This window comes from Homo sapiens, chromosome 10, assembly GCF_000001405.40.
Source record: "Homo sapiens chromosome 10, GRCh38.p14 Primary Assembly".
Classification (NCBI taxonomy): Eukaryota; Metazoa; Chordata; class Mammalia; order Primates; family Hominidae; genus Homo; species Homo sapiens.
This window is the reverse complement of record NC_000010.11, coordinates 102,448,561-102,458,846: the sequence shown is the minus strand read 5'-3', so window position 1 is coordinate 102,458,846 and position 10,286 is coordinate 102,448,561. Positions and strand designations below refer to the sequence as shown.

Here is a 10,286-nt window from a genome sequence, read left to right as displayed (position 1 = left end):
ATTCTGTCTGATTTCTCTTTGTGGTTGCCAGTCACAGAGCTAACTGGGAGGGGAAATGCAATGAACTAGAGGCCATATCACCTCCCTAACTCATTGAGCCATACCGGAGTCCCTGGACCATGGGACAGATAGATTGTGCACTCTCTGTCTTTGAAATTCTCTCCTCCCTTTACTTCCCACCTCTCTGATCTAGTTTCTGCCATGTTCTCTTCCTACCTAATAATTCCTCCTCAGTCCCCTTCACTGCGGCACTTTCTCCCAGGGCCTCTAAAGGAAAAGGGAGGGTGTCCCAAGTTTCCATCTTGAATACTCATATACTCACTCAAACTTTTAATCCATGCCAGGCCACAGGCTGTGAGGTAAAGGGGACTTCAAAAACAAGATTGCTGGCCAGGTGCGGTGGCTCACGCCTGTAATCCCAGAACTTTGGGAGGCCGAGGTGGGCGGATCACCTGAGGTAAGGAGTTTGAAACCAGTCTGGCCAATATGGTGAAACCCCATCTCTACTAAAAAACACACAAAAAATTAGCCAGGCCCGGTGATGGATGCCTGTAATCCCAGCTACTTAGGAGGCTGAGGCAGGAGAATCGCTTGAACCCGGGAGGCGGAGGTTGCAGTGAGCCAAGATCGCGCCACTGCACTCCAGCCTGTTGACAGAGCAAGACTCTGTCTCAAAAAATAAAAAAAACAAGATAGCTACCTGCAAGAGGCGTTGAGTGGGGTCCAAACAAGCTGGCAGCCAAGATGTCAATAGTGTGATAGGGACCAGATGGAGACAAGCCCAGGGTGGCAGCTGTTACGGTAATTTCACCTAGTACCTTTTCCTTCATGACTACTTCCACACCTCCCATGTCCAACCTGAAGAGAATATCCAGAATGGCCCATCCGAATTCACCATTCCTTAAACTTCCAATCTCCCTCCAGCATTTTCTACCTCCAGGACTGCCTTAACTGTCCATTGAGGTGGCCAAGGCGGAAACATGTGCATCCACCCTCCATCCTACGCACTTCATCAAAACCACCATCTTGGATCAAGTCCAGGTGAATCCTACTCCCATCTGTCTTTTCCATCCCTTGCTCCTGTTTGGTTCTCAGCTTTCATAAGCTAACACGAGAACCTCCTCCATGACTAGCTTCCACCCCCACGCTCTCTAATCTGTCCTCCATTTTGCCCTCAAGTGAGTTTCCGATCGCAAGCTTCCCTGAGCAAAAGCTTCTCAGGTTGCTATATACTGAAAATTTTCATGGCCAGATGCAGTGGCTCACATCTGTAATCCTAGCACCTTGGGAGTCTGAGGCATGAGGATCGCTTGAGCCCAGGAGGTGGAGACCAGCCTGGGCAACATAGTGAGACTCCATCTCTATAAAAAATTTCAAAAAATAAAAAAATCAGGCCGGGTGCAGTGGCTCACAACTGTAATCCCAGCACTTTAGGAGGCCAAGGTGGACGGATCACAAGGTCAGGATATCGAGACCATCCTGGCCAACATGGTGAAATCCCGTCTCTACTAAAATACAAAAAATTAGCCGAGCACGGTGGCACACGCCTATAGTCCCAGCAACTCGGGAGGCTGAGGCAGGGGAATCGCTTGAACCCGGGGGGTTGCAGTGAGCCGAGATCGCGCCACTGCACTCCAGCCTGGGCAACAGAGTGAGACTCTGTCTCAAAAAGTAGTAATAAAATAAAAAATTTTTAAAAATTATGTGGAATGTGGTGAGGCACACCTGTAGTTCCAACTACTCAGGAGGCTAAGGTGGGAGGATTGCTTGAGCCCAGCTATGACCACACCACTGCTCTCCAGCCTGGGTGAAAGAGACTCGTCTAAAAAAAAATTTTTTTTCATAATTCATAACAAAGTGCTGGCGGGGGGGGGGACGGTTAGGAAATATCCTGGGGTGTATCATTGGTGGAAGCAATAGACCATTTAAACTAGCTTAAATAAAGAAGGAATTTACTGGCCTGTGTAAGTTAAGTCCAGGACCCTTTCTGATTTCTGTCCTGGGAAAAGCAGAAAATCCCCTCCACCCAACAAGAAAATAAAGTCCTAGGCTTGACTTGCATTGGCCCATATCATGTCAAGGGCTAGCCCAAGTCAATCACTATGGCCAGAGGGATGGCTGTGCTGAAAGGCTTAGCCCTAAATCACCCAAACCTAAGGATACAGTAGATTCAACTCCACCAGAACTACTTTCCTGAGAATAGATAAGGTGTGGGACTTCAAAATACTGGGGACTGGCACTGGAATCAGGGTGAACAAATACTGAGAAACTCACAGCTTGGCCATTATTTTTCTCATTTTGCCTGAAAATTTCCTTCCCAGGCTCCACTTGAGCTTCGTCTTGCTTGCTCCCCACTCTCCACCCAGAAGAGATGGAAAACCTGGCCAGTGCCATGGGTCCACTACTGAACTCCAGGCTGGGGTGTGGTCAGTCCATGGATAGCCGTGAATACTCCCAGGTGCTGGGATTTTAGGACAGGGACGAAGTTATAAACAGGAGCAGGGAGGTGTATTAGTTTCCTACTGATGTTGTAACAAATCACCACAAACTTGGTGGCTGAAAACAAGACAAGTTTATTTTCTTACAGTCCTGGAAGTCAGAAATCTGAAATGGCTCACTGACAAGGGGTTGGCAGGACCGCATCCCTTCTGGAGGCTCCAGGGGAGAATCCATTTTCTTGCTTTTTTCAGCTCCCAGAGCCTGCCTGCATTCCCTGGCTCATGACCGTCTTCCGTATTCAAAGCCGGTGATGGCTGGTTAAGTCTTTCAGTCATTGCATCACTCTGCCTCTGACTCAGCCACCTCACTATTCCACAGTTAAGGACCCTTGTGATTACATTGGGTCCACCCAGATAATCCAGGATCATCTCCTTATCTTAAGGTCAGCCCATTAGCAACCTTACTGCCATCTGCAACCTTACTTCTCCCTGGTCATGTAATATAACATATTCGCAGGTTTCCGGGGTGACATTATGAACATTTTGGGGGGGGAATGTCTTTTAAATTCTCTCATTCTGGAACCAGTCCTTACAGCAGAGAGAGGGCGAGGTTCCTAAGGAGTTTTGTAATGGGGCCCTTGAGATTTCAGCACCCCAGCATTTTAATTTTTTCCTGAGCAATTAATACTTAAAATTTTAAAGTTTTTTGTATATATTTGTGGGGTATATATGATGTTTTGATACAAGCATGCAATGTGAACTAATCACATAATGGAGAATGGAGTGCCCCCCAGCATTTTTAGTGACTAAAAAAATGAGAATTCTGATCACAGGCCAGGCACGGTGGCTCAAGCCTATAATCCCAGTACTTTGGGAAGCCAAGGCAGGATGATCACCTGAGCCCAGGAGTTCAAGACCAGCCTGGGTAACATAGTGGGATCTCATCTCTACAAAAATTAGTCGGGTGTGGTTGGTGCACACCTGTGGTCCTAGCTACTCAGGAAGCTGAGGTAGGAGGATCACTTGAGCCCAGATCAAGGTTGCAGTGAGCCCTGGTCATGCCACTGAACTCCTGTGGGGAAAAGAAAGAGAGATCAGATTGTTACTGTGTCTGTGTAGAAAAAAGTAGACATAGGAGACTCCATTTTGTTCTGTAAGAAAAATTCTTCTGCCTTAAGATGCTGTTAATCTGTAACCCTACCCCCAACCCTGTGCTCCCTGAGACATGTGCTGTGTCAACTCAGGGTTAAATGGCTTAAGGGCTGTGCAAGGTGTGCTTTGTTAAACAAATGCTTGAAGGCAGCATGCTTGTTAAGAGTCATCACCACTCCCTAATCTCAAGTACCCAGGGACAAAAAACACTGCGGAAGGCCGCAGGGACCTCTGCCTAGGAAAGCCAGGTATTGTCCAAGGTTTCTCCCTATGTGATAGCCTGAGATTTGGCCTCGTGGGAAGGGAAAGACCTGACCGTCCCCCAGCCCGACACCCGTAAAGGGTCTGTGCTGAGGAGGATTAGTAAAAGAGGAAGGAATGCCTCGTTGCAGTTCAGACAAGAGGAAGGCATCTGTCTCCTGCTCATCCCTGGGCAATGGAACGTCTCGGTGTAAAACCCGATTGTATATTCCATCTGCTGAGATAGGGGAAAACCGCCTTAGGGCTGGAGGTGGGACATGCGGGCAGCAATACTGCTCTTCAAGGCATTGGGATGTTTATGTGTATACATATCTAAAGCACAGCACTTAATTCTTTACCTTATGATGCAGAGACCTTTGTTCACTGTTTACCTGCTGACCTTCTCTCCACTATTATCCTATGACCCTGCCACATCCCCCTCTCCGAGAAACACCCAATAATGATCAATAAATACTAAGGGAACTCAGAGGCTGGGGGGATCCTCCGTGTGCTGAACGCCGGTCCCATGGGCCCCCTTTTTTCTTTCTCTATACTTTGTCTCTGTGTCTCTTTCTTTTCCAAGTCTCTCGTTCCACCTAACGAGAAAAACCCACAGGTGTGGAGGGGCAACCCACCCCTTCACACTCCAGCCTGGGTGACAGAATGAGACCTTGTCAAAAAGAAAAAAAAAAAGAAAAAAAATTCTGATCAGGCCGATGCTTGCTTGCACGTGCTAACCACTCACTTTTTGCCCAATATTCCTTGTTCCCACAATATAAACTGCTGATGTGCTGTTTCTTGGTCAAGCAGGAAGAGGTAACTTTGTGGTCATGAAAAAAAATTGCAGGCCAGGCACAGTGGCTCATGCCTGTAATCCCAGCACTTTGGGAGGCCGAGGTGGGTGAATCACCCGAGGTCTGGAGTTCAAGACCAGCTGACCAATATGGTGAAACTCCGTCTCTACTAAAAATACAAAAAATTAGCTGGCCATGGTGGCGCATGCCTGTAATCCCAGCTACTTGGGAGGCTGAGATAGGAGAATGGCTTGAACCCGGGAGGCGGAGGTTGCAGTGAGCCAAGATCCCCGCCATTGCACTCCAGCCTGGACAAAAAGAGCAAAACTCCGTCTCAAAAAAAAAAAATTGCAGGAATGAATGCCTTGAAGGACGTTGTGACCAGCTGCTGATGCCCAGAAGTCTGGTGGCTCAAGGGGTTATCTGAGACTGAAGAAACACAGACTTTTACCCTGGGTTCCCTGAAATGCCCCCTCCGTCACTCCTTAGTCACATTAAAAACTCCCTGCTGCTTTTTGAGACAGGCTCTCAGTCTGCCACCCAGGCTGTAGTGCAGTGGTATGAACACAGCTCACTGCAGGCTTGACCTCCTGGGCTCAAGTGATCATTCTGCCTCAGCGCCCCAAGTAACTGGAACTACAGGCACATGCCACCATGCCTGGTTTTTTTTTTTTTTTTTTTTTGTAGAGCCGGTGTTTCACCATGTTGCCCAGGCTGATCTCGAACTCCTGAGCTCAAGCAGTCCACCTGCCTCAGCCTCCAAAAGTGCTAGGATTACAGGTGTAAGCCACCCTGCTGCTTTTTTTCTGTTAATAGGGATTTGAGAGATTTGCTCTCCCGCCTTCTCACTTTGGCCAAATCAAATAAACCTTTCTCTATCTCCCACTGTTTGGCCTTAGCTGTGCATCAGGTTCACCAGCCTGAATCTGGGTTTCTATGACAGTGTTAGAGTCCAAATGAAACCCTAACCAGGCCCCTTTTTTCCATCCACAGCCCAGCCCCAGCACCTGCCTTCAAAAGGACTGGCCCGAATTAAGACTTGGAGCAGTGGCTCAGTCACGAATAGCATGACATCACCAGGGTGAGTCACCAAATGGTGGCCACCACCAGAGGGTAGCTGAGTTTTGAGGGATACTGAGAACCCAGAAGAACCTTTCTGTCAGGGCTGCTGGTGATACTGCTTCAGTCAACAGGAGATGGGGAAGGAAAGTGTGGCAACATGGCAGCCCTGCAGCTGGGAGACGGTTTCAGTTTTAATCATCCATAACTACCACTCTCCCCACTGGAGAAGGAAGAGGTGCAGGGGTTGTGACCCACACCAGAAGGGACTGGAACTCAGACAGGGCTCACCCCATCTGGATGAAGCAATCTTCCTGCCTTCACTCAAATGGCTTCTGGCCTTTGACATCAGTTGGACTGGGTTCAAATTCCACTGTGGTACTTACAGGCTGTGTGAACCTGGGACAGTGGCCTAACTTCTCTGAGCCTCTGGTTCCTTATCTACTAAAAGAGCATGACATCACTATGCACTTCACATAGCTATTAAGAATTTAAAGTAGGCCGGGCGCAGTAGCTCATCCTTGTAATCCCAAAACTTTGGGAGGCCAAGGTGGGCGGATCACGGGGTTGGGAGTTCAAGACCAGTCTGGCCAATATGGTGAAACGCCATTTCTACTAAAAAATACAAAAATTAGCCAGGTGTGGTGGGGCACGCCTGTAGTCCCACCTACTTGGGAGGCTGAGGCAGAAGAATCGCTTGAAGCTGGGAGGCAGAGGTTGCAGTAAGCCAAGATCGTGCCACCGCACTCCAGCCTGGGCGACAGAGCAAGATTCTGTCTCAAAAAAAAAAAAAAAAAAAAGGAAGAAAAGAATTTAAAGCAGCCGGGCGCGATGGCTCACGCCTGTAAAATCAGCACTTTGGGAAGCCAAGGAGGGTGGATCACCTGAGGTCAGGAGTTCGGGACCAGCCTGGCCAACATAGTGAAAACCCCGTCTCTACTAAAACTACAAAAATTAGCAGGAGGTGGTGGTGCACCTGTAATCCCAGCTCCTCGGGAGGCTGAGGTGGGAGAATCGCTTGAACCTGGAAGACGGTGGCTGCAGTGTGCCGAGATCATGCCGCTGCACTCCAGCCTAGACAACAGAGCAAGACCCCATCTCAAAAAAAAAAAAAAAAAAATTAAAGCGCTTATGTAACATTCTAGAGTGGGAGGACTTCGAGACAGTCTGCGAGAAGCTCCTGCACAGGTGGGCAATAAGACCAACATTGTGAGCCTGAGTCTTGAGACAGACTGGGGGTTGAATTTTGCCCTTACTATAGCCAGCTGTGTGAGTTGGGATGAGTTATTTAACCTACATAAGCTCCAGTCACTGAATACACTGGACACCAACTGTGAGGCAAGCAGCTTTTTGCTATGGAAAGCAGGGGTAATATCAGTACCCCCCTTCCTCGGATCGACATAACTTGCAGTTAGATGCTCCCAGACAACTCGATTCAGTGTCTGGTGTGCAGGAGTTTCACTCAAATGTGAGGATAACCCAATCCACCTGCAGGCGCTGGGAGGCTGGGGTGTAGTGACTGGGAGCTAACCGGATTAGACAGCCATCAGTAATACTGTAGGAAGGGCATCCTTGTAGGGTGGGGCCACTACGACCAGTACGGCTCACCCAGGTGTAGACAGACGCTGGTAGCTCCTGGCCAGCTCAAGGTGTTTCCTTTTGCCTGGTAACCAGGAGGAGTGGCTGAGGCAGGGCATGGAGCGGAGCAACGCAGCTACAAAGTGCGGAGAGGAGCCCCGCTCTGGATCCCGCCGGCTCCCCAAGGCTGAAGGAGACAAGTGAGTGGGGAGTCACTGGGAAGAGCATCCCGGCGGAGGGCTTGAAAAGGCTCCTTATTGTCTGCTGGGAGCCTGAGGCTCTGCCCGACCTTGGGACAAGAGGCTAGGCGGGGAGCTGAATGTTCGATTTGGGATGAATTCCCCCAAAGCCATGAACCGGCGTCCCGGGGAACCGGCCCACAGGGACAGGAGGCGGTTAAGTAGAAAGTCTGTCTACATATCCCTTCCTCCGCCGCAGGTCTGGATCCGCAGGAGCCCCCAGTAAGAACAGCAGCCGCCTGGGGGGCCGACCATGTATGTGTACAGCTGGCCGCCGCCCAAACAGGGCGTCTGGCCGCCGCCGCCGCAGCTGCTCACCTGCACCTACCTGGCCGCCCCTCTGCTGCTACCCCCAGTCCAGGCCCACAGCTTCCGCAGCCGGCCCGGGAGCCTGCATGCGGGCGAGTGGGCGGCCCCACGGGAATACCACCGCTTCTACGGCCCCGCCGCGCCACCCGAGGCCGCGCCGCCCTGGTGGGCCTGCCCTCCGGCCTACGCCACGACCCTGCGCCGGCCCTGCGCCGCCGCCGGCATCTCGGGACTGTCGCTGCAGGCGCCCGCGGCGGTGGCCGAGAGCTGGGCGCCGTGGCCGGAGGGCGGGAGCCTGCAAACCGAGCTGCGCTGGGGCCGCGTGGAGCGCGCGCGGGGCCCCCCTCTGCAGCTACCGGACTTCGTGCGCCGGGAGCTGCGGCGCGCGTACGGCACCTACCCCCGCGCCGACGTGCGCGTCACCCAGCGCCGCGGCCAGTTCCTGCTGCAGGCGACGCCGCGCGTGCTCGAGCCCGACCACCGCGTGGAGTGGCGCGTGCGGCGCCGGCCCGACAGCGGCGACAGCAGCCCAGCCCGGGAAGCCGCGGAGCGCGGCCGCCCCAGGAAGAGCAAGGGCCTGAGCTGAAGCCGCCGCAAGGCCTAGGGGCGGGCCCGCGTGCACGCGCTTGGCTCTTTCCTGTGTGTGCCGCCGCCGACAGGCAGAAGTGAGCCCTCACCTGTGCGCGGGAGGCGGACGCGCTGCTCACCTGTCTTTTTGGCTTCTCCCATGACTGCCGGCCAGTTTCCTGCACTTGTTTCTCTCGCTTTATTGCTGGACGGTGGGAGAAGGGCAAGTGCAAGACGGAATCGAGGGCACCTCTGGGTGTTCTGTACCTCTTTTCTTCTTGCACCTTGGGAAGTGGAGGACGTGGGATGGAAGAAGGGCCTGGACCTCCCTCCTTCCTCCTCCCCACCTTCTCCTAAGGAGCTTGCCCTGCAGTAAGCCCCAACTTTCCCTTCCTCTTTTCCCTCTATCAGAGTCGTCGCCCACCCCCCTTTCCCACCGCTCCCCTACCCCCGCCTTCCTGCCAAGCCGAGGGCGACGGTGATCCCCAGCTTAGTAAGAAAAGTAAATAGGCCGGGCGCGGTAGCTCACGCCTGGAATCCCAGCACTGTGGGAGGCCGAGGCGGGCGGATCGCTTGAGCCCAGGAGACCAGGTTGGAGACCAGCCTAGGCAACATGGCGAAACCCTGTCTCTACAAAAAAAAAAAAAAAAAAAAATAGCCGGGTGTGCTGATACACTACTGTAGTCCCACCTACTCGGGAGGCGGAGATGGGAGGATCACCTGAGCCCGAGAGGGCGGGGCTGCAAGGAGCCGCGAACGCACCACTGCACTCCAGCCTGGGTGACTGAAACCCTGTCTCAAAAACAAAAACAAACAAAAAAAAAAACAATAAATAAATGAGCGAAGTCAAGTATACACTGCGAGATCATTGTTATGTTTTGGGGTGGTGTTTCTCCATCTGTTTATCTGTTTAATGGGAGTCTTACCGCCCACCCTGGGGTACAGGAAGGTAGGGTGGAGGGGCGTGAAGTTGAACTGGCCCTCTGGAGAAAGCATGTGTCTGATCGCTGGGCCCAGCTGCCCTCTTCACCATCTCCCTCCAAGTGTGCAGGCCAGCACCTTCTAACTCTCCTTGGTCCTTTGGCCCACCACCCTCCGAGATGCTGAGGGCATAAGCTCTATTTTTGAAGTGTGGAAGGCTTCACTAGGAGAGGGATGTCTGAGACCTGAGTTTAGGGCTGGCTCTGACATTTTCTACCTGTGTAACTTAAGGCTTTCTGACTCTCAGTTTCTTCATCAGTAAAAGAGGCGTAAAAGTAACCCAGCCTAATTGGAAGTTAAGATGAATGTCTCGGCCCGGCCTAATTGGAAGTTAAGATGAATGTCTCCGCCCGGCGCGGTGGCTCATGCCTGTAATCCCAGCACTTTGGGAGGCCAAGGTGGGCGGATCACGAGGTCAGGAGATCCAGACCATCCTGGATAACACGGTGAAACCCCGTCTCTACTAAAAATACAAAGAATTAGCCGGGCGAGGTGGTGGGCGCCTGTAGTCCCAGCTACTCGGGAGGCTGAGGCAGGAGAATGGCGTGAACCCGGGAGGCGGAGTTTGCAGTGAGCCGAGATGGCCCCACTGCACTCCAGCCTGGGCGACAGAGCGAGACTCCGTCTCAAAAAAAAAAAAAAAAAAAAAAGATGAATGTATCTTCTTGTCTCCCAATTCTTGCTAATAATCGTTAATTCTTAATAGGCTGAGGTTTGCAATATTCTAGGAGTTTTCTGGAATGTTAGGCCACATAGCCAATTTTAACTAGGATCTAGCCAGATTTGAGGCCCAGCTGTAGAAATTTCTTTTACTGAACTTCCATTTGTAACTGACCAATAGTTACCTGGGTATACACAGGTGAGTTATTGAAGCTGTAGGCCAGCTGATTGGGCACTGCTGTATTTGTGAGCTTCTTGGAGAAGTTGTC

General features: G+C 51.7%; 1 protein-coding gene and 1 long non-coding RNA gene across 3 annotated transcripts, besides 8 other annotated features; one reads left to right on the top strand and one right to left on the bottom strand.

Annotated features, from left to right (window-relative positions):
• Positions 1,523 to 2,111: an enhancer, noted in NCBI's record as "H3K27ac-H3K4me1 hESC enhancer chr10:104216493-104217081 (GRCh37/hg19 assembly coordinates)". NCBI's record gives its function as "activates a minimal SCP1, AML or CMV promoter by ChIP-STARR-seq in naive H9 embryonic stem cells {active_cell/tissue: H9 hESC(naive)}" and the evidence as "EXISTENCE:reporter gene assay evidence [ECO:0000049][PMID:30033119]".
• Positions 2,112 to 2,699: an enhancer, noted in NCBI's record as "NANOG-H3K27ac hESC enhancer chr10:104215905-104216492 (GRCh37/hg19 assembly coordinates)". NCBI's record gives its function as "activates a minimal SCP1, AML or CMV promoter by ChIP-STARR-seq in naive H9 embryonic stem cells {active_cell/tissue: H9 hESC(naive)}" and the evidence as "EXISTENCE:reporter gene assay evidence [ECO:0000049][PMID:30033119]".
• On the bottom strand, positions 2,554 to 9,030 carry C10orf95-AS1 (C10orf95 antisense RNA 1). Of its 2 annotated transcripts, NR_038937.1 has the most exons (5): positions 8,825 to 9,030; positions 8,487 to 8,660; positions 7,292 to 7,448; positions 6,660 to 6,757; positions 2,554 to 3,510 (listed from the first exon to the last, which is right to left on the bottom strand). It is a non-coding gene; the product is annotated as a C10orf95 antisense RNA 1 (long non-coding RNA). The 2 variants fall into 2 exon arrangements; NR_038938.1 differs by lacking the exons at positions 6,660 to 6,757; positions 7,292 to 7,448 and having other exon boundaries at positions 8,517 to 8,660.
• Positions 2,700 to 3,289: an enhancer, noted in NCBI's record as "NANOG-H3K27ac hESC enhancer chr10:104215315-104215904 (GRCh37/hg19 assembly coordinates)". NCBI's record gives its function as "activates a minimal SCP1, AML or CMV promoter by ChIP-STARR-seq in naive H9 embryonic stem cells {active_cell/tissue: H9 hESC(naive)}" and the evidence as "EXISTENCE:reporter gene assay evidence [ECO:0000049][PMID:30033119]".
• Positions 3,290 to 3,877: an enhancer, noted in NCBI's record as "OCT4-NANOG-H3K27ac hESC enhancer chr10:104214727-104215314 (GRCh37/hg19 assembly coordinates)". NCBI's record gives its function as "activates a minimal SCP1, AML or CMV promoter by ChIP-STARR-seq in naive and primed H9 embryonic stem cells {active_cell/tissue: H9 hESC(naive and primed)}" and the evidence as "EXISTENCE:reporter gene assay evidence [ECO:0000049][PMID:30033119]".
• Positions 3,878 to 4,466: an enhancer, noted in NCBI's record as "OCT4-NANOG-H3K27ac hESC enhancer chr10:104214138-104214726 (GRCh37/hg19 assembly coordinates)". NCBI's record gives its function as "activates a minimal SCP1, AML or CMV promoter by ChIP-STARR-seq in naive H9 embryonic stem cells {active_cell/tissue: H9 hESC(naive)}" and the evidence as "EXISTENCE:reporter gene assay evidence [ECO:0000049][PMID:30033119]".
• Positions 6,655 to 7,337: an enhancer, noted in NCBI's record as "H3K27ac-H3K4me1 hESC enhancer chr10:104211267-104211949 (GRCh37/hg19 assembly coordinates)". NCBI's record gives its function as "activates a minimal SCP1, AML or CMV promoter by ChIP-STARR-seq in primed H9 embryonic stem cells {active_cell/tissue: H9 hESC(primed)}" and the evidence as "EXISTENCE:reporter gene assay evidence [ECO:0000049][PMID:30033119]".
• On the top strand, positions 7,304 to 9,010 carry C10orf95 (chromosome 10 open reading frame 95). Its single transcript, NM_001363580.1, has 2 exons — positions 7,304 to 7,461; positions 7,700 to 9,010. Exon 2 carries the CDS (start codon positions 7,754 to 7,756, stop codon positions 8,393 to 8,395), a length of 642 nt encoding a protein of 213 aa, NP_001350509.1. The 5' UTR covers positions 7,304 to 7,461; positions 7,700 to 7,753; the 3' UTR covers positions 8,396 to 9,010.
• Positions 7,860 to 8,349: a silencer, noted in NCBI's record as "silent region_2761". NCBI's record gives its function as "represses an Ori minimal core promoter by ATAC-STARR-seq in GM12878 lymphoblastoid cells {active_cell/tissue: GM12878}" and the evidence as "EXISTENCE:reporter gene assay evidence [ECO:0000049][PMID:35858748]".
• Positions 8,390 to 8,469: a silencer, noted in NCBI's record as "silent region_2760". NCBI's record gives its function as "represses an Ori minimal core promoter by ATAC-STARR-seq in GM12878 lymphoblastoid cells {active_cell/tissue: GM12878}" and the evidence as "EXISTENCE:reporter gene assay evidence [ECO:0000049][PMID:35858748]".
• Positions 9,031 to 10,286: the final 1,256 nt, after the last annotated feature.

Excerpts from the sequence above, each read along its gene's own strand:
- C10orf95 (NM_001363580.1), top strand. The coding sequence starts at position 7,754 with ATGTATGTGTACAGCTGGCCGCCGCCCAAACAGGGCGTCTGGCCGCCG.